Below are 18,407 nucleotides of genomic sequence, written 5' to 3'. Positions count from 1 at the left end.
CCCTTCCAGCCTGTGAGCTCATCTTCAACCTGGCTGGAGGTGCCAGGCCACTCCTGGGATGACACAACTGTCTGGGAGGGCCCTGTGCTGGTGCCCCGGCCACATATCTGCAGCTGTCTCCCTTGGTCTGGCAACAACCTCTCCCAGCTCCTCCTTATTCAGGGCGTCTCTCCTTGCTGCCAGTCCCACTGTGTGTATACGCATGCGTGTGTGCTGTGTGTATGCAAGTGTGTGCCTCTGCACTTAGGCGTGACTTAACCACCCCCATCCTCCAGACTGGGGCAGCCTCAGATTTCTTCACCCAGGCCAGCCTATCCCATGAGGGCCACCTCTGAGGTCCCACCCAGTCAACAAATGTTTACTGCACCCCTTCTCACCAATGGGGCTAAACTTAGTGGGGTGGGGGTGGTGCTGGCCCCAGTGCTGAGCTCAGTTTTACTGGGGAGGAAGGTGCTTAGGTCTCAGTTGCCTGTCCTTTTGCAGTCTGAGTGTGACAGGGGTGTTTGGCTTTCTGAGCCTGGAGTGCTGCTGTCCCTGTCCCTAGATTCCCTTCCTGCTGCAGGGTGGGCTGAGGTCTAGCAGCCCCATTTCTTCCCTGGCCCTGTCCCTTCTGTGCCCCGAAATGTGTGGGATGGGGCAGTGGTTGGTAAACTGGGTCTCGGTCTCTTCATGTGAAAAATGGGGCTAGGCTGGGTGCAGTGGCTCACGCCTATAATCCCAGCACTTTGGGAGGCTGAGGTGGGTGAATCACTTGAGGTCAGGAGTTCGAGACCAGCCTGACCAATATGGTGAAACCCCATCTCAAAAAAAAAAAAAATTGGGGCTAACGGTGAGCCTGTTTTGCAGGATTGCTGTGTGCACAAAATAAATGCATGGGCATAGGGCCCCTGGCACTGGCTGGGCGCAGAGGCTGTGCTGGGTATGTGGGGCTGCATCCCTGTCCTTGACAGCGGAGGTCCGGGAGGCTGGACTGGGGGTGGGGTGAGGTTCTGCCCCCATATACCCCGGCCAGAGCCTGGCCAGTGGGTGCTCCTCCCCCACCCCCCAGCTACATCCCCATCAACACTGTGGGGCTTAACTTCTGGGGCCTTGTTTCCAAAGCGGAAATGCCATTCTGGGAGGCACAGGCTTTTGGGGGAGGGAATTTAAGTGGAAAAGGAGCAAATTTTTGAAATGCCTGTGTCGGAGCCTGTTTCCCTTGCTGCCTCCTGCTCACACCAGCAGCCCCACCCCCAGTGCTGTTCTAATGCAGCTACTGGGGGAGGAGGGTCTCATCCCCCAAGGTTCCAGCCATCCACCTCCTCTCTGCACCGCCCTCCTTGGCCAACTAGGATGGAGCAGGGGCCAGCTCCCTTGAGGGCCAGGCCTTTTGTGTCCTTGCCCGTCCCTGCAGAGACTGCTGCCTGGGGCCCTGCCAGCAGGGCACTGCCTGCCCATGAGGCCTGGTCTCCCCTCCCCACAGAAGTGGAGGCCCAGGGATGACCTCAGGCTCCTGAGGGTCCCGCTGGTTCAGACCTGCTCTCTGGGAAGCTGGTGTGCCAGCCAGGCTGAGGAGTGGGTGGCTGGACAGGGTCAGGGTGCAGGAGGGGCCCGGCACAGCTCTTGGGAACAAGCAGGAGGAGATGCTCCAGGCAGCTTCCCTGAAGGCTGGCTCCTCTTCTGAGGCGAGGCGGGCTGTGTCGGGGAGGCACAGGGTGTTGGCTAGCTGTTCTGTTCCTCCTGAGGACTCTGGGTCATGCTCTGTCTCATCCCACTGCTCCTTCCTCACCCGCTGTGCTGTGAGTTCTGGCCAATGCTTCCCAAGCCAAATATTGAAGAAATGCAGACGTCCAGTTTTTTGGGAGGGGTGGGACACAGGAGTCTGTTTTTTAACTAGCTCCCCAGAGCACCTGAGCAGCAAATCATGGGCTGTCCTAGCCCCTTTTCAGATGAGAAAGGAGCCCAGAGAGGGGAGAGGGCCTGCCAAGGTGGCACATCTGGCCAGGCGCTGCGTAGGCTGAGCCCTGGGGGTCAGACAGAGGGGCAGCTGCAGGCCCACCTGGGCTTGTGTCTTCCATAGGCCATGCTTGAGAATTCTCTGCTGCGTGAAGCCGGGTCTACCCCGCTGCTTCCCTGCCACCAGGGCTGCCTCGTGGCATCCCATTGCTCAGCCAGTGGCCCAGGATTGTTGACTGAGGGTCCTGTCTGGTCTGGACCAGGCTCGGTCCTATCATCTCCCTGCAGATTGTGCCTCCCTGGCCTGGCCCAGGGGCTCTGGCACCCTGGTTCTGCTGCATGGGGTGACAGTCACTGACCTGCAACCGAGCAAGGGGCAACTCAGGAGAGCCAAGGTTGTCTCCACTCGGTTTCCCCCGAGTGATTCTTCCTTCTATCTCCCTCATTCCCCCAGTGCCGCTCTCCTACCCCATGTCGCTGAAGCAGATGAGTTGGAGCAGGACTCAGGAGGGTACTAGGCCCAGGTTTTAGGCTGAACCTAGGAATGAGTAATGAGAGGAGGCAGATCAGCTGGAGGACCAGCCCGAGTCCCCAGATGTCGGCACAATGCAGGGGAAGGTAGGTGCTGCCCGTGAAAAGCGCTGGGTCGAGAGCTCGCCAGCCTCCCTGCTTGAGGCTTCATTTCCTGGGGTCCTTACACGGTGGGACCGTCTACAGTCGGAGCTGTGGTGGTGATGATTCGTCTCCTACAGGCTGGGGCACGCCCCCTCCCCTTTCCCTCTAGATTCAGATTTGAGTCCCACGGCCCATGGACACGCGATGAATGCCCTGGGGTTGGTTAGCGGGAAAGACAAGTCGACTTGAGGCCATGTCTCGGCTCTGGAGGAAGAAGGCAAACCGGGCAGCCTTCCCAGAAGTGGAGGAGTTTGCGTAGGCCTTCGGTGCGTTCTCGCCTGGGTGGAAGGCGGGGACGTGCATTTGTTGGAGAGCGGTGTCCTGCGCCCTAGGCTGGAAGCCTGGCCTCGGGCAGGGGCCTGGAGCCTCGGGGTTGGAGGTGGGGGGCGGGGCGGGGGGCGGCCCCTACTGGGCGGGCTTCTGTCTGCGCGCCCGCGCCCCCGACAGGCGGCTTATTTGCATGGAGAGCGGCGGCGGCCAATGGGCGCGCGCGGCCGGGCATGCTGGGATCGGGCTGGGCCGGCTGGGCCGTGGCGGCAGGCGGAGAGCGGCTGGACCGGCTCTGGGTGGCCGAGGCGGCAGCTGCGCGGCGGCACCGGGGCGGCTGCGGCGCGCTCGGAGCCCCGAGGGCACGCGGCCCGGGCAGCTCGGTGTGCGCCCCCGCGAGAGCCGGGGCCCCAGGCCCGCCGGACACCATGAACCACCTGGTGAGGGCGCCAGGTGGGGCCGGGCCGCGTACGGGCTTGGAGGCGGCAGCGGGCTGGAAGGGGTTAAGCGAGCGGCATTTCCTGCCGGACCTGCGGGGCCTGGGAACCGCCGGCCGGGGTCCGCGGCCCTGGGATCTCCTTCTGCCCTGGCCGGGAAGCCGGGAGGCAGGAACCGCGGGGGCTCCGGAGCCTGTGCGCCTCGGGTGCGTTGGCGGGGCCGGGCGCGGGGGCCGCCAGCCGGTAGGAGGGTTCCTGTGTCGGGAAAGTGGCTGGCGGGGCCCGCGCTCCCCGGCCGACGGCCGCCTGCTGTGTCACCTTGGGCCTCTGCGCCCTGCCTCCGAGCCTCAGTTTCCTCGGCTGCGAGGAGGGGCCGTTGAGCCTCTGGCGGGTGGTCCGGCTGGTGTGGCGTGGGGACTGCCCACCGGCTCCCGGAGAGGGAGGAGCTCCGGGGGACCGAGGCCGGGCGGGCAAGTGCGTGGCGCCAGCGGGGAAGGCTGCGCAGCCGGAGCACCCGGCTCCAGTTAATGATTCACTCCGGCCGCCGGCGCGGGGTTCCGGGAGCGGAGCGGGAGTGGGGGCGGGCGCGCCGCGGGCTTTGCAGCCCCGCACGCCGAGCGCCGGTGGAAGCCGGGTCCTGGCCACAGGAGTCCTAGCCGCACGCGAGTGTCGCGGGAGGGGGCCAGGGCCGGGTTCTGCAGTGTGGACATGAAGGCTTTGGAGTCCATGGTTGGGGGACCCGCAAGAGCTAGAGCAGGGTCGGAGCTCCCTCTCGAGGGTCCGAGAGGCTGATCGCTGGACCGAGGTGAGGGAGTTGGGAAAGCGGAGATTTGCCTAGGGGTGCGGGGTGAGGGGCTTACGGCCTGGAAGATGTTGGGGTTTCGAGTTCCAGATCGGGGACAGCAGCTCCTTTTCTACCACAAGGCTCCCGTTCCCTCCTGAGAGTCCCTGGTTTCCTTTCCCACACCCCTCCCGGGGCCCGCCGCAGCTTTGGTCACCTTCTCAGAATGACCATGGGTTGATCTCTTCTTTGCTAGTGAGATGTTTCCCATCGCCCTGGGCCGGGACACGCCCCCTCTTGTGCCCATTCCTTTCCCTCGGTGGAGAGTTGGGTGGTGGGGGCTGGCCGGCCTGTGAGAGCAGGTGTCGGGGTGCCTGGAGAATCGGGGCCCAGGTACGGGGGTGGCGGGGCTGTGGGGAAAAGAGCTTTGGGGAGGAGCTGCTGACACTTCCTCCTGGCACTGCTTGCCCGGGAGCTGGGTGGAGGCAGGGCAGGGCAGGGCAGTCCCAGGTTCTGCCAGGAAAGTCACCTTGGGCTGGGGCAGGAGGCTTGGAGCTTCTGGCCGTTACTGTTTGTCTGAGCAGGAGGGTGAGCACTGTGTACTGGTACCATGGCCCCAGGTCTAGGCGAGGGATGGAAATAAGGACAGTGCCACTAGGGCCTCCTGTCTGTACAGGAGGGGCCCTGAGACAGCTCCTCAAACCCCTTTCCCATTATACGGATGGTGCAGATGGGGACACTGAGGTACAGAGAGACAGTCAGTTGTCCTCAGAATTGGATCCAGAACCTCGTCTTCTGGCATGGCCCCCCAGTGCAGCACCACATGTGGCCTCCGAATTCCCAGTCTGGGATTGGGGGAGCTCTGGTCCTTGGGGGACCACCATGCTCTTTTGGAGTTGTCAACTTGGTAGGAACCCTCTGGTTCCAACGCTGTGCCTTTGCGGCCCTCTCCTGGCATCTGCTGTCCCTTTAGGAGGTCCTACCACCCTTTTCTTCTGAGCCTGGACAACTCCTTCCCTTGCCCCCAGGAGCCCACAGCCGGCTAAACCAACTGGTCAGCTAGAACCAACCAGCAGGGGAGGTGCGCTCCAGGGGGGCTTCTAAGAGGAGGCAGTTTTGGAGTCAGAGGTGAAGTGTGGGGAGTGGGATTGGGTGATAGGGAAGTTTCTCCAGCAAAGACACTGGGCAAGCCTCTTCCTTGGCCCCCAGATAAAGGGCTGCAGGGTGGTCTCCGTGTAAGAGGGTGGGGCTCTGCCCTCTGTCAGGCCCTTCCTGGCCCTCCGAGCACAGGAGAGGCCCTGGCTCCACCTGTGTCTTGCTTCCCTGACTTCCTCCCACCTCTACATTCTAGCCTGGGGCAGAAGTAGGGTGGAGGGGTGGGTCTAGCCTCCTTGATGACACAGTTGGGGTTGGAGGTGGGGGCTACCCCTATTCTGGGCCTGGTGCTGTCCCTGAAGTCAGGGGTCAGCCTCACACCGAGCTCTCTGCCAAAACCCCGGATCACAAGCATGAGCTCCAGCAGGTCCGCTTGAGTGAACACCGCTGATCCTGCCTGCAGGGGTATAGGCCTGGGGCCTGCCAGCCGTCCGCACTGTCTGTGGGGTGTTTTGGGTTGCAGGTTCCATGTCCTGAAGCAGGAGAGCCCTCCCCATGCCACCTCCTCTGCCCAGCCTCTTAGGGACAGTGCCTGGGATGCCCTGGCTGGAGTGAGGACTGGGGTGTGCTTTCAGCCCATAGCTGGCCCTGGGCATAAAGGCATCTGCTGTGGTGCTGCAGCCAAGGCCAGGCTGTGCTCTGTGCTTGTGTCGGGGAGCCCTTGGCAGTGGCCACCCCACAGGTGGCTTTTTATTCCCTCCTGCTGCTGAGTGTCACGCGTGGGGCTGAGGGCCTGCACGCCTTCCCGGCCTCATCCTCTCCGACGATTCACGCCCTCCTAAGGCTGGCAGGATAGGAGCCATGCTCCCCTGGGGTGGCTCTGGAACGTGGGCCCCGTGCACAGGCTATGTAGTCTGCTCACACCCTTGCTGCCTGCCACCCGGGCACCCAGGACTTGAGCCCAGACCCTGGCCACCCTGTTGTTGTGGGAGTATTAGGGGAAGTTGCCACTAAGGCTGGCAGGTCCTGGAGTTCCACCCAGGATGGGGACATGGGGGAGGGAAGAGGAGGTGCCCCTCAGAGCCTGAGGCCAGGACCAAGTGGGGTGATCAGGACCCCTCCAGGTGGGTCCCGGGTGCGGATGGCCAGTTGGGCGCATGCTTATTGGGCCTGCATCCGTTGGCCACGGAGGCTCTTTGGGACAAGCAAATAGAATGCCCCAGAAATAAACTTGGCCCAAGTTTGTGATGGTTCTGGGTATGAAAGAAGTCAGTGTTTCCCAAGTGCCTGCTATGTGCGAGGCTCTGTGCTGGGGCGGGTGCATGTGTGCGTTGGGGGCGTGGACAGGAGGGGTGGGAAAGGCCTGTGACATTTCCTCTGGTGGTTTCCACGAACCCAGGCGTCACCCCTCGGTGGAGATAAAGTGGAGCCACCCAGCTCCACCGTGTCTCAGCCTGGGGTCGGCCTCTGCTGCTTCTGGACTCAGTGACCCTGGGCTGTCAGGGAGCTTCTGAGCCTTGGTTTTCCTGTCTAGTAAGATGGAGGTAATCGTGTCTTATGGGGTTGTTTTGAGGGTTAAATGAGCTGGTGGCTGTGTGGGAAAGAGCTCTGCCTCCCGCAGGGAGGAACTGTGCTGTTCTTATTATTGTGAACTTAGTGACAAGTGTGGCACTATTACCCATTTCCTTGTCTGCCCCCAACCCTGGGGTCTTGGGCAGAGAACAGGAGTTCTTGCCATTTTCTCCCAGCTCCCACCTTGTGCTGGCTTGCGGGTGCTGAGGTCATATTTGCTGGGTGAAAGGGTGCAGGCCAGATATGAGCCAGGCCTGGCAGAGAGGGTTTTGGTCAGCAGTGATACCTGCAGTGTTCTCTGCAGTTGGTTTGGGCTGGCCCTGCTCCTGAGAACTCCTGGGTTGTCCCTTCAGGCAACCAGGGAAGGCTCCTTGGAGCAGCAGCATCTCCCCTTACCACTCGCCGACACCAGCTTCCGCCTGACCCAGAGAAGGAGTTTGGGGACAGCCACAGCACGTCCAGGGCTCCCAAGGCAGCTGGCAGAGCCAATGAGGAGACCCCAACACCCATCCGACGGCTGCAGCTCTCCCTGACGTGTGTCACCCGCAGCCCTGGTCCCAGCCGCTGTGCTTCTCAGGGCCTGCCTGCCCAGCCCGGGTGGATATGGTGCCCAGGCGGGCCCCGGGGACACAATGAGGGCCATTCTCAGAGCCAGGCAGAGCGTGTGGGGCAGTCCTGTCAGTCCTATGTGCAACAGCTGGGATATTGTTTAGGGAGTGCTGGCATCAGGCTGGGGCTCTCCTCCTCTGGCCCTGCCCTTTGGGATGAGCAAGCCCCCAAAGGCCTTCCTGGGTTCCTCTGGTGCACGTGCCCTGGAGTTACCCTTCTGAAGGAGGTAGACTTGTCCTCCTGTCCTGGGTGCCTGGGGTGCAGGGGTGTGAATTGGGCTATGTCAAGATATGCTGGGCAGTACTGTGAGGTGGGGGCAGAGGGGAGAAGGTGTCCCAGGAGGAGCCTTCCTGGAGGGGATGATAGTCCAGCATGTTCTGAAGTGGGAGTAGGGTGCGGCAGGAGTAGGGTACCAGAGAATGAGTGAGTCAGGCAGCAGCCTCCACTGCGCCTTGGACACAGGTGGCTGACAGTGTCCACCTGGACTGGCTTTGCACCCCTTCTGAGGTCACAGTTGTGTCCCTTGAAAACTTGGGCAGGAGCACCTGACTGGCCCAGCTTGGGTCATGCCCTAGGCCCAGCAGTGCGGGAGGCCAGGAAAGTAGGCTTGGGGAGGCTGGCCTCTCCTCCAGTTTGAAGCATGGCAGGGGTTCCGGGGGAGGCTGCTGGGGGGCCTGCGAGCATGTCCAGAGCAGGAATGCTTGGGGTGGTGTGTGCTTTGCTCGTCTGGGCTTATCTGGCCGTGGGGAAGCTGGTTGTGCGGATGACGTTCACTGAGCTGTGCACGCATCATCCATGGAGTCTGCGGTGTGAGTCCTTTTGCCGCTCCAGGGTCACAGCCTGCCTCCCTGCTCCAGCCCCCTGGCTGAGGCCCTTCCTCTGCCCCATGCTCTTCTCAGACAGGAATCCTGTGGAATGTCATCTCTTTGGGGAGGCCGTCTCTGACCCTGTATGCAAAGGCCTTCTCCCACATTATTTTTGGCACCCCACTTTCTTCCCCGTGAAAGCAAATTGTTTGGTGTCTTTCTGTCCCACTACAGTATAGGCCCGGTTCAGACAGAGGCCTTGTCCACTAGGCCTGCGCTATCTCTGCGGAGCCCAGCCAAAGCAGGGGCCAGGCGAATCTTTTGTTAAAAGAACAATGCGCGCTGGGCACAGTGGCTCACGCCTGTAATCCCAGCACTTTGGGAGTCCGAAGCTGGAGGATCACTTGAGCCCAAGAGTTTGAGACCACCCTGGGCAACATAAGGAGAACCCATCTCTACACAAAATTAGCTGGGCGTGGTGGTGTATGCCTGTAGTCCTAGCTACTTGGGAGGCTAAGGTGGGAGGTGGCTGAGGTGGGAGGATCACTTGAGCCTGGGAGGTTGTTGCAGTGAGAGCCATGATCGCGCTACTGGGCAATAGAGCAGAACCCAGTCTCAAAAAAAAAAAAAAAAAAAAAAAAAAAAAGAACAATCCTATGAAATGAGGGCTGTCATCCAGCAGAGAGGATCTAGATGCTCAGAGAGGCTAAGGGATTTGCCCAAAGTCCCACAGCCGGGCCCAGGTCTGAGTCTGCCTAGTGAGGAAGAAGGAGTGCATGTCCTTAGGGAACAGAACAGGAGGCAGAGAGGCCCGGAGAGGCGGGGGCCCTGGCCAGCTGGAGTGGTCGGTTGTGTACCAGCAGCGTCCAGAGCTCAGGCTGGGCGGGGGCACACCAGCTGACGCAGGCGGGGAAGCTCCTGGTGCCAGGCGCCTGGTGCCACGTGCCCAGCCTGTGAGATGCTTCCCAGCCTGGCTTCAGCGGCCCCAGACTGGGCTGTGGCCGATCAGTGAGCTCATGCCTGGCAGGGCTGGGCTGTGAGGCCAGAGGCCCCAGCCGCTCACCTGGGCCGGGCTTTCCCTCCCTGCAGGGCCCTTCCCTCCACAGAGCCCCCGGCCTCCCTGCCTGTGCTCCCTCAGCCTCTCTGAGTGCCTGGCCCTGCCTGATGGGGCCTCTGCCAGCCTTTCCTGGGCCACCCTCCTAGGAGGTGAGGGGCCTTCGCGGGGCGGTCCCCTCTGTCTAAACCCCCACCTTCTCTGACTTGGCTGGAGGGGAATTTTCCTGTGACTCACTCTGCTGGCACTTCCTGTGGTCACCAGGGCAGGGGCTGGGGGACCCGGAGGGGCAGCTCTGTGGTGTGTAGGGTCACTGGGGAAGGGTGGCCCGCCCCCGATGGGCTGTGATTCCCAGAGGCAGGCTGCAGACCATATTTGGGAAATGCTTGTCTTGCTGGCCGCCTGGGATGGGGGCCCTGAGCCCGGTGGGCTGCAGGACAGCCCCCGCCCTCCCGCTCCTCTGTGGGGCTCTGGCCCCTAGACCTGCCGCACTGCCTGTCCCGTCCTGCCTCAGAGCCTGGGACATAGTCCACCGTTTTCTTTTTTTTTCTTTTTGTGTAGTTTTTCAGCCCCAAAGCAAGAAACACTCATTCCTGAAAAACAGGAAGAGAAACTATCTCCATTGTCTCAGACATCTCTGGTGTCTTCCTGACCCTCTCTTGTCTTTACGTTTCACAGGACATTTTCTTGAGATGTGCTTTTCACTTGAGTGCCTTTTTCATTTTGTTGTAATCATGGTGTGGACAGTGTTGCAGCCATCCAGGGCCTCTGCCCTTGTGCTCACCTTGGCTCCAATATGACTCCACCTGGGCCTGCCCTCTCCTAGCTGCCCCCTGGCCCCTCCCTTGGGCCTTGCTCCTCCTGGCTCTCCACACTCCAGCCTCTGGCCCTTTTAGGGACTGGAGGCTCCTAGCTGCTCTGGAGAAATGGGCTCCCTGCTGATGATGTCCACCCAGGGCAAGTGAACCATGGGGTCTGAATGTCTGATCCTGGGACCTGGGGCAACTACTGCCTACCCAGGCCGCTGCCTGGTATGCCATCGCCCTCTGATGCCGGCCAGGGAGATGGCGCTCAGAGGGGCACTGTCCAGCCCCTGCTCATATAGGGGAGGAGGGTGGGCCCTAGGGACTTGAAAGAGGCCTCACCCCCACTCCTCTGCCCCAAGGCACAGGCTCCTGCTTCCTGTTTCTGCCCAAGGGGGCGTGGCCCTTTCTTCCTTGTTTCACTCCTTGCAGATGGAGTCCAGAAAGTGGGACTTGGGCCCAAGTGGGGATGGTCACACAGCTACTGGCTGGCCAGAACCCAGGTCCCATTTCCGAGTCAGAGTCTCGACCAGGCTGCACATCTAAGACGCCAGGAGACTCTGAGGAGGGACCTTGCAGGGCAGCCCAGAGCTGAGGCCAGGCTGGTGGGGTGGCTGGAGCCCAGTGCCGGTCACTGTCCAGCCAGCCTGGCACTGTTCTCACACCCGGCTTCCCTGTGTGTGAAGTCTGGGGCCCCTGTGGAACCCATGCAGCCCTCTGCTGCCCTAGGAGGGGCCGCAGCCCTGGCCTTGTCTCACCCCGTGCCTCCCTCACACCTGCCTTTTGCTGCAACCGCCCACACCCTCCAGCCAGGGATCCTCTGTCTCTCTGGGCCCATCCTGCGCCTGGCACCTCGATGGGGCAGCAGCGGCAGGGGCGAGGATGCATGAGTGTGTGGTGGGAAACTGCGAGGCCTCCCTGCCTGGGCTCTAGTGTCCCAGCGAGGCTCCGCCCCTGCCCTCGCCACGGCACTCATGCCTCTGATCCCACAGCCTCCTCCAAGTCCCTCTCGGACTGCTTGGCTCCTGGGCCACATGGAGCACGTACCCGGCTCTGCAAGGGTTTGCTGAGGGCGACGGGGCCAGGACAGGGAGGGTGTGCCTCCTGTTTCTTTCCCAGCCTTGGGGAAGGTGTTTGAAGTTTCTAAATTAATTACTGACTTTTTGGATTTGGGGTAGATAGACTTTGTTAAGGAAGCTCTGTCTTATTGTTGTTCATTTTTTTATCCTAAGAAGCTGTTCTTTTTGTCAGATTATTTTCGTGCACCTCGAGAGAGAACCATTTGCTATTTGTTTTAACTTGGCAGCTTTGTCGTGATTACTGCCGCTCTCCTTGTGTTGGTCCAGGTAGCAGAGTGGCCTTGGGTGGGGCTTTTAGGGATATCTTGAGGGTCATCCCTGGAGTTTTGGTGGTGACAGTGGTCAAGAGGATTTTGAGGTGCTATACAGGTGCAGTTGAAAGAAAGGCCAGGATCAGCTGGGCCTTTCTGCTGGGGAACAGGTGGGGACAGTGGAGGCAAAGGCACAATGATCTCGCCAAACTCCACTGAGTTCTTTTCCTAGTATCAAAGCTGGGCACCTCCCCAGAGCAGGGCAGGAGCTGGGGAGCCCCTGACGCCCCATGCACATCCTTCTGTTCTCACACCTGTGTCCTCTCTCCCCAGAACGTGCTGGCCAAAGCGCTCTATGACAATGTGGCCGAGTCCCCGGATGAGCTCTCCTTCCGCAAGGGTGACATCATGACGGTGCTGGAGCAGGACACGCAGGGCCTGGACGGCTGGTGGCTCTGCTCGCTGCATGGGCGCCAGGGCATCGTGCCTGGGAACCGCCTCAAGATCTTGGTGGGCATGTATGATAAGAAGCCAGCAGGGCCTGGCCCCGGCCCTCCCGCCACCCCGGCCCAGCCTCAGCCTGGCCTCCATGCCCCAGCGCCTCCGGCCTCCCAGTACACGCCCATGCTCCCCAACACCTACCAGCCCCAGCCAGACAGCGTCTACCTGGTGCCCACTCCCAGCAAGGCTCAGCAAGGCCTCTACCAAGTCCCGGGTCCCAGCCCTCAGTTCCAGTCTCCCCCAGCCAAGCAGACATCCACCTTCTCGAAGCAGACACCCCATCACCCGTTTCCCAGCCCGGCCACAGACCTGTACCAGGTGCCCCCAGGGCCTGGAGGCCCTGCCCAGGATATTTACCAGGTGCCACCTTCTGCCGGGATGGGGCATGACATCTACCAGGTCCCCCCGTCCATGGACACACGCAGCTGGGAGGGCACGAAGCCCCCGGCAAAGGTAAGGCTGTCCTGGCACAGTTGTGCAGCCACACAGGTATAGCCCAGGCCCTGGTTTGTGGGCACAGAAGGGTCCAGCCACCCTCAATCACCGGCATTCCAGGAGTGGCTGTGTGTTTGGTCTGGGGTCAAAGTGGGAAGTGAGTGTTTGGGGGGTGTTCATTTGTCCGGGGAAGATGGATGTGAATGGACCCAGAGGGGAGATGCTCCGCTGGCCTCAGCCAAGCCGACCCGAGTGGTGGTGTCACCAACCACAGGGAGCAGCCTGTTGAGGCGTTCCAGTGGGCAGGCGGGGCTTGGCACATGGGGTCGGCAGTTGCTGGGCCCCCGCAAGGGAGAGGCCAGCCACTTCATGCTCAGGCTCCCCTGTGCCATCTGGGTTTACGTGTCAGCCTCTAGATGGGGTTCCGGCACATCTTCTGGCCGCCCCTGCCTCCACAGGCCAACCCCTCTCCACTTATGGAACATGCTAGGGGCCAGCGGGTGCGTATGGTGATCTGGATGTGACTCCTGGGAGGACGCTGCCCCTGAGATTGCTAGAGGAGGACTGCCCTGAGAGCCTCCTGGGCTCTTGCTGATGGGATGCTGGGCCTGGGGACAAGACCTCTGGCCTCCAGACCCTGAGCCCGCTTCCCAAGTCCACAGGGCCCCTGCCTCCCAAGCTCACCTGCCTGTAGGAAGGAGTCAGCACTAGACACTCAGCCCAGGGCTGAGGTGGAGACCTCATTGGTGCCAGCTGGGCAGCGAGTCAGCTGGGAGTTACCCCCACCCCCGCCCATGGGTGGCCTGGTACCCAGGAGGCATGGCCGGAGGTCGTTGGCGGGTGGGGGACTCCATGGACATGGGCCACCAAGCCTGGCCACCAGGGGAACCTGGGTCACTGGCTCCCACTTCCTGCTCTACCTGCTCCTTCAGCCATCTGGTCAGAGGCGAGCCTGGCTGGCGTGGGGTGCCTGGGTGGGGGTGCTCCCAAACTGGCTTTAGCAAGAGGAGCAGGGTCCTGTTATCCCCTGGGGAGGCGGCAGGGAGCAGTGTCCTGTAGGGGAGCCTCAGGCCACAGTCCAGGTATACCCACACCCCACACAGATGAACACACGTGCATGATGCCTGTACCCCACAGATACGAACACCCATGCACACACCATATGCACGAACACACACATGCGCTACATGAATGTGCGTGAATACATGCACATATCTGCATCCCATACCCCATAAATGGACACACGTATACGCCCACACATGCGCACATCATATGCATGAACACGCACACACCCAAACCCCATATGTGTAAACACACGTGCATACTCACCCCACACACAGACACGTGTACGTCCACACATACAAAGCGTGTGCACCCACCAGTATCCCACAAACGTACAAATGTATGTGCGTATGCACACGCACACACAGTCCACACTGCACATGCCCCAAGGTCAGGCACATCCCCACCCCTCCTCTCCCGCCTTTGCAGTGAAGCTTGTCCTGGTGCGGCTGGAAGCCCTGTGGGCTGGGGAGCAGCAGCGAGACCCCCAGACAGAGCCCGGCCTCGAGGCTGTGTTTTGGCAGCTGTTCTGTCTCCGTCTCCGGCAGGGGGCCTGCTCTCAATTGCATCAGGGGCTCAGCCAGCTGGGTCCTTCTCTGCCCATGCCCACTGGTAGAGCTGCCCAGACCTGTGCCCCAAGGGCCCTGACCTGGCTGATGGCCCAGGAAGGAGAGCCCTGTGTCCTGGGCCTGGCTGCTCTCCCCCAGGAAACCTCCCCCAGTCTTGATTGTGTCTGCTTGTATTTTATGATCACAAAAGCAATGCTTGTTTGCTGTAGAAAATGCATAATGTATGGGAAAGTCTGGAGATGAAATTTTCCAATCGCGGTAATCACTGGGAAATTCTGGCATATTTTGTCTAGTATCTGCCCTGTGTTTCACAGATTTATACATGCAGTTTTGCATTTCAAAGTTGTAAATCCAACATTAGATATCAAAAGCATTTTGTTGAATTCTTAAAGCTTGTCCCTGAGCCGCCTTGGACTTTGCTGGGTTGCCCCCTCTGCTGGGGCGGGCCCTGGGCAGTTTCCGATTGCTCATGCCTTCATTACGGTGGCACGGCGGTAACACCTGGCTGCGGGACATCTGTGTCTGAACCTCCAGGTGCTCCCCTCCAAGCCTCAGGCCTGCCCCTCAAATGCCTGGGAAACTGAGTCTCCCAGTTCCAGGGTAGTGGTTGGCTGGGCTGAGAAGGAGCCCTTGCCAGGACTTCACGTGGGCGGGAGGGACACTGGCTCTCAGGAAGCCAAGAGGGTGAGTGACAAGGATGGTGGCCAGGAGGGTCAGAACCCTGGGCCCTGGAGCAGGGTCCAGTGGTTGCTAAGGTGGGAGCCTGGTGGCCCGTATGGCTGAGGGAGAGGTGAGGGCCACACTGGCACCGAGACTCTTTGGGCCGGGTGTGGGCTGTAGGAATCTGAGGGCAGAGGCTCTTTCATGGTCAGATGGGACCCCCGGGGGAAGGCGTCTGTGGGAGGTCGCTCAGGTAGTGCCCCTGGTCAGTGTCTAAGGAGACAGCCATGGCGTGAGGTCAGGCGTGCACGTGGTCCTGTCGGGCCTGTGTTTCACCCTCCTCGCCCTAGAAGCTTCATCTTGCCCCAGGCTCCCCTGTGCTGGGACCTCAGGCTGGGGTGCCTGGAGCTGGGGAGGGAGGGGAGCGGGCTATGGTGGTGGCCCCTCAGGCCACCATGACCCAGGTCGGGTGAGCCCCTCATGCTGGGGTGTGTCCTGGTGGCCGTGGTCGCAGCGCTCCTGTGGTGCTCCATTTCCCAAGGAGGAAACGAGGCTCCTGGATTGGGACCTGGGGGTGCCAGAGCCGGGAGCCAACCCAGGTCAGGGGCGACACCCATTTTGCAGAAGGGGGAGACCAGCCACTGAGCTCCAGGGCGGGGGCCCACTTTGTCCCCTTCCTCCGACCTGACACCTGCCTCTGGGGCCCTTACCGGGAGGCTGGGATGTATTCCTGAGTTCGCTTGTCCCCCCGCTTGATGCCTGATAGTAGGGGAGGAGAGGGGCGGCACCCTGGCCCTGGGGCTGCCTGGGTTCTGTGCGTGCACCTGGCAGTGGGCCTGTGCTGTGTTTTCTCTGCATTGTATGAGGCATGTGTGTCAGAGACCGTGTGGGTCTTATGTCAGTGACTGTGCCTCTGTTCTCTCCTCCTGGGCTCTGGCTGTGTTCCCCTAACCCCCGGGGGACCTCCACGGCCTGCTAGTGGGGTCTCAGGTGTGCAGCAGGGTGGCCTGTGATTAGCAGTGGGGCTGAGTCATTCCCCTAAAGAGCTTTTCCCCCTGGTGGCTGCGTTGCTCTGTTTTTCTAACAGAAACATTTGGTCACTGTGGCTGCCTACTGCCACCCGACTCAGCTCCAAGAGTGGCAGGCGGCCATTTGCCTGGGGAGGCAGGCCTGGGTCCAGCTGCACCCCTGGGCCTCACCGCGTGAGGTTGGGATGGCCACCGGCAGGGTGCTTTTGGAGGATGCTCATCCCTCCTGCTGGTGCTGGGTCCTGGCTGAGCCTTGAGGCTGGGTCCCCACCTGCCTTTGGGAGGCTGGGAGGCCTGGAGAAGCCTCAGGCCGTGCCTCGAGGCCCAGCCAACCTGCCACGTCCCTCCGCCCCGCCTGCCCCGCTGTTGGCAGGTCCCTGCATCTAAAAATAGTTCTGGAGGAGACTCAAGTCTGGGGCGCGTGGAGGGAGATGAGTCTGGAGAGGCAGCCGCCAAATCCACTCCCAGACGCACTGGAAGGGGGCGGGGACACCCCACGGAGGCCCCCAGCCGGGACTCTGCTACCAGGCGTGCTGGAGACCTAGTGGGCCCAGTTCTGCTGCGCTGCGGGGGGCTCTGCCAGGCCTGCGGCTGCTGGGGGGTGCTGGCGCCTCTGCCACCCCCATGCTCAGCGCCCCCCTCACAGCACCCTCAGCAAGCAGGGCTGGCTGCCTGCCTGCATTGGGAGGGCCTCTAGGGGTTCAGGGGCACTGGGCCCGGGGGAGGGGCTGCTTTGGCGCTGCTGCCCTGGGGGATGTGCGGGGAGGCCCTGAGTCAACCCTGTCCCAGACATCCCCTTTGATGAAGGAACAAAAGGTCTTTCAGTGGAGAGAGCTGAACAGGGAGCCTGGTGGTGGAGGCGTGTGGGCGCAGTGTGCCCGGGGGCTGGAGAATCCCACCAGGGAGGCCTTGACCTCCCCAAGGCAGGGAGACCTTCAGGGAAGGAGGCTGCCTGGCATGGCCCCTACCCGCTTCAGGCTGGTGCTGGTGAGGGGTCCTGTGGCCCTGGGCAGGCCATTGTGCTGCCTGCCTCTTCACCCACTGTGCGGGCCTTGGCTTCCCTGGGCTCTGGGTCATGGTAAGAGCACCTGGGGAGGGGAGGGCTGGCCCTGGACCCACTTCCCCCACTAGGCCTCATCCTTTCAGGTCGCTGGGGATCTTACCTGCTGCAGGCAGCTCCCCCGGGGCAGGCGCGGCAGGGAGGGGGCCTTGGTCCCAGCTGCTGCGCCCCCCAGCACACACCCAACCTGCCCCTCTGGCCCTGTCCTCCAGAGTCTCCCCATGCTGTGCTGTGGGGCAGGGGGTGCTAGGCTCTATCTGGTCCTGGGCCGGATGCAGTCCCCTGCTGGGCCAACCCTTCTGAGGAGGCTACAGCTAGGTGGTGTGGGCAGCAGACTCCCAGGCCTCCGACGTGGCCTCTTGTCCTGTGGGGCTAGGCGCCCCAGTAACGGGGGGTTCCTTGCCTGTGGGTAGTGCCCTCCAGAGCCAGGGCCTCAGCCCCTCACCCCACCGGTGTCATCAGCTCATACCCATGCTCCTCTGTGGAGCCTTCTGGGTCAGCAGGCTGTAGAGACGTTGGTGTCCTGGCCCAGGACGAGGCAGCTCTGAATAAAACCCAGAGTTCTTGCCGTACCTGGCACTGCGTTCTGCTAGAGGAAGGTCAGATGGTGCAGAGGGGGTGAGAACTGGCATCCTTGGGGAGCCCCGTCCCTTCCACCTGGTGTGCCCTGCCCACCTCCTAAAAGGACGTGGCTCCCAGGTGTGAGTGGAGCCTCCCTAAGGGCTGGTTTGAGGGCAGCAGTGAAGTCGGCTCTCTGCCCCCAGGTGGTGGTGCCCACCCGCGTGGGGCAGGGCTATGTATACGAGGCCGCCCAGCCGGAGCAGGACGAGTACGACATCCCGCGACACCTGCTGGCCCCGGGGCCACAGGACATCTATGATGTGCCCCCGGTTCGGGGGCTGCTTCCCAGCCAGTATGGCCAGGAGGTAGGTGTGGGGTGCGCAGCGGTGGGAGGGCAGGGCGGCAAGTCTGTGCCTCTGCTTGGCCCTGGGCCGAGAGCTGCATCTTCTCAGCCCCGGCCAGGCCTGGGGACGGTGCTGCGGGGTTCCCACCTTTCCTATTCCCCCAAGTGGCCCTGGCGCCGTTAACCCTGCACTGTTTCTGCCCCAGGTGTATGACACACCCCCCATGGCTGTCAAGGGTCCCAATGGCCGAGACCCGTTGCTGGAGGTGTATGACGTGCCCCCCAGTGTGGAGAAGGGCCTGCCACCGTCCAACCACCACGCAGTGAGCAAATGCCAGGGCAATGCCAGGGCCAGGCTGAGGCTGTGGGGTGTCTGGGTGTGTGCACAGGGGTGCTGACCAGTGTCTGCAGGGCTGGGGGTGGCGGGCAGGAAGAGACTGGCTCCAGACCCTGGTTCTGGATGGTTGACAGATGAGGAAATCAAGCTGTCTTCTGAGCCTCAGGTTCTTTGTCGGCAGAACCGCCTGTTGCGAGGCCTTCTCCATGAGCTCCTGAGAGGGTATCCGCAAGGTGACCACGGGATGTGTCATCTCACCTGGGATACTTCCAAGAGTGAAGGGGGGACTAGTAATTATGTGGGGGCATCAGGGACAAACCAGCACTGTCCTGGGCAAACCAGAATTTGGTCCCCTGATAATACACACAGAGCTCAGTCGCACACCTGCTGCAGAGTAGAAAGTTCACACGTGGTGGTGGTGCTGGGTGGTAACAGTGATGGTGGTGATGAGGTGGCAGCGGCGGTGATGGTGATGAAATCATGATAT

At 61.7% G+C, this 18,407-nt stretch overlaps 1 protein-coding gene across 9 annotated transcripts in view, besides 12 other annotated features; it reads left to right on the top strand.

The window, feature by feature from the left end:
• The window catches only part of BCAR1 (BCAR1 scaffold protein, Cas family member), a 39,827-nt gene that overhangs the window by 13,220 nt on the left and 8,200 nt on the right, over positions 1–18,407 (top strand). For 4 of the 9 annotated variants that reach the window (NM_001170715.3, NM_001170716.3, NM_001170718.3 and 1 more), the window contains 3 exons: positions 11,698–12,318; positions 17,444–17,605; positions 17,790–17,906. In NM_001170715.3, coding sequence (NP_001164186.1) covers positions 11,698–12,318; positions 17,444–17,605; positions 17,790–17,906 — 900 coding nt within the window. Of the gene's footprint in view, positions 1–2,389; positions 2,554–3,163; positions 3,318–6,636; positions 6,735–11,697; positions 12,319–16,127; positions 16,698–17,443; positions 17,606–17,789; positions 17,961–18,407 lie in introns of those variants that run through there. The other 5 variants (NM_001170720.3, NM_014567.5, NM_001170717.3 and 2 more) reach the window with 5 other exon arrangements.
• Positions 250–790: an enhancer, noted in NCBI's record as "H3K27ac-H3K4me1 hESC enhancer chr16:75287896-75288436 (GRCh37/hg19 assembly coordinates)". NCBI's record gives its function as "activates a minimal SCP1, AML or CMV promoter by ChIP-STARR-seq in primed H9 embryonic stem cells {active_cell/tissue: H9 hESC(primed)}" and the evidence as "EXISTENCE:reporter gene assay evidence [ECO:0000049][PMID:30033119]".
• Positions 791–1,330: an enhancer, noted in NCBI's record as "NANOG-H3K27ac-H3K4me1 hESC enhancer chr16:75287356-75287895 (GRCh37/hg19 assembly coordinates)". NCBI's record gives its function as "activates a minimal SCP1, AML or CMV promoter by ChIP-STARR-seq in primed H9 embryonic stem cells {active_cell/tissue: H9 hESC(primed)}" and the evidence as "EXISTENCE:reporter gene assay evidence [ECO:0000049][PMID:30033119]".
• Positions 1,331–1,871: an enhancer, noted in NCBI's record as "NANOG-H3K27ac-H3K4me1 hESC enhancer chr16:75286815-75287355 (GRCh37/hg19 assembly coordinates)". NCBI's record gives its function as "activates a minimal SCP1, AML or CMV promoter by ChIP-STARR-seq in naive H9 embryonic stem cells {active_cell/tissue: H9 hESC(naive)}" and the evidence as "EXISTENCE:reporter gene assay evidence [ECO:0000049][PMID:30033119]".
• Positions 2,412–2,952: an enhancer, noted in NCBI's record as "H3K27ac-H3K4me1 hESC enhancer chr16:75285734-75286274 (GRCh37/hg19 assembly coordinates)". NCBI's record gives its function as "activates a minimal SCP1, AML or CMV promoter by ChIP-STARR-seq in naive H9 embryonic stem cells {active_cell/tissue: H9 hESC(naive)}" and the evidence as "EXISTENCE:reporter gene assay evidence [ECO:0000049][PMID:30033119]".
• Positions 2,952–3,061: a silencer, noted in NCBI's record as "silent region_7713". NCBI's record gives its function as "represses an Ori minimal core promoter by ATAC-STARR-seq in GM12878 lymphoblastoid cells {active_cell/tissue: GM12878}" and the evidence as "EXISTENCE:reporter gene assay evidence [ECO:0000049][PMID:35858748]".
• Positions 3,122–3,281: a silencer, noted in NCBI's record as "silent region_7712". NCBI's record gives its function as "represses an Ori minimal core promoter by ATAC-STARR-seq in GM12878 lymphoblastoid cells {active_cell/tissue: GM12878}" and the evidence as "EXISTENCE:reporter gene assay evidence [ECO:0000049][PMID:35858748]".
• Positions 6,038–6,701: an enhancer, noted in NCBI's record as "H3K27ac-H3K4me1 hESC enhancer chr16:75281985-75282648 (GRCh37/hg19 assembly coordinates)". NCBI's record gives its function as "activates a minimal SCP1, AML or CMV promoter by ChIP-STARR-seq in primed H9 embryonic stem cells {active_cell/tissue: H9 hESC(primed)}" and the evidence as "EXISTENCE:reporter gene assay evidence [ECO:0000049][PMID:30033119]".
• Positions 10,052–10,161: an enhancer, noted in NCBI's record as "active region_11126". NCBI's record gives its function as "activates an Ori minimal core promoter by ATAC-STARR-seq in GM12878 lymphoblastoid cells {active_cell/tissue: GM12878}" and the evidence as "EXISTENCE:reporter gene assay evidence [ECO:0000049][PMID:35858748]".
• Positions 12,312–13,153: an enhancer, noted in NCBI's record as "H3K4me1 hESC enhancer chr16:75275533-75276374 (GRCh37/hg19 assembly coordinates)". NCBI's record gives its function as "activates a minimal SCP1, AML or CMV promoter by ChIP-STARR-seq in naive and primed H9 embryonic stem cells {active_cell/tissue: H9 hESC(naive and primed)}" and the evidence as "EXISTENCE:reporter gene assay evidence [ECO:0000049][PMID:30033119]".
• Positions 13,154–13,995: an enhancer, noted in NCBI's record as "H3K4me1 hESC enhancer chr16:75274691-75275532 (GRCh37/hg19 assembly coordinates)". NCBI's record gives its function as "activates a minimal SCP1, AML or CMV promoter by ChIP-STARR-seq in primed H9 embryonic stem cells {active_cell/tissue: H9 hESC(primed)}" and the evidence as "EXISTENCE:reporter gene assay evidence [ECO:0000049][PMID:30033119]".
• Positions 15,678–16,519: an enhancer, noted in NCBI's record as "H3K27ac-H3K4me1 hESC enhancer chr16:75272167-75273008 (GRCh37/hg19 assembly coordinates)". NCBI's record gives its function as "activates a minimal SCP1, AML or CMV promoter by ChIP-STARR-seq in naive H9 embryonic stem cells {active_cell/tissue: H9 hESC(naive)}" and the evidence as "EXISTENCE:reporter gene assay evidence [ECO:0000049][PMID:30033119]".
• Positions 17,362–18,203: an enhancer, noted in NCBI's record as "H3K4me1 hESC enhancer chr16:75270483-75271324 (GRCh37/hg19 assembly coordinates)". NCBI's record gives its function as "activates a minimal SCP1, AML or CMV promoter by ChIP-STARR-seq in primed H9 embryonic stem cells {active_cell/tissue: H9 hESC(primed)}" and the evidence as "EXISTENCE:reporter gene assay evidence [ECO:0000049][PMID:30033119]".

The sequence above is a fragment of the Homo sapiens genome, chromosome 16 (genome assembly GCF_000001405.40).
Source record: "Homo sapiens chromosome 16, GRCh38.p14 Primary Assembly".
Classification (NCBI taxonomy): domain Eukaryota; kingdom Metazoa; phylum Chordata; class Mammalia; order Primates; family Hominidae; genus Homo; species Homo sapiens.
This window is presented reverse-complemented; position numbering and strand designations above follow the sequence as displayed.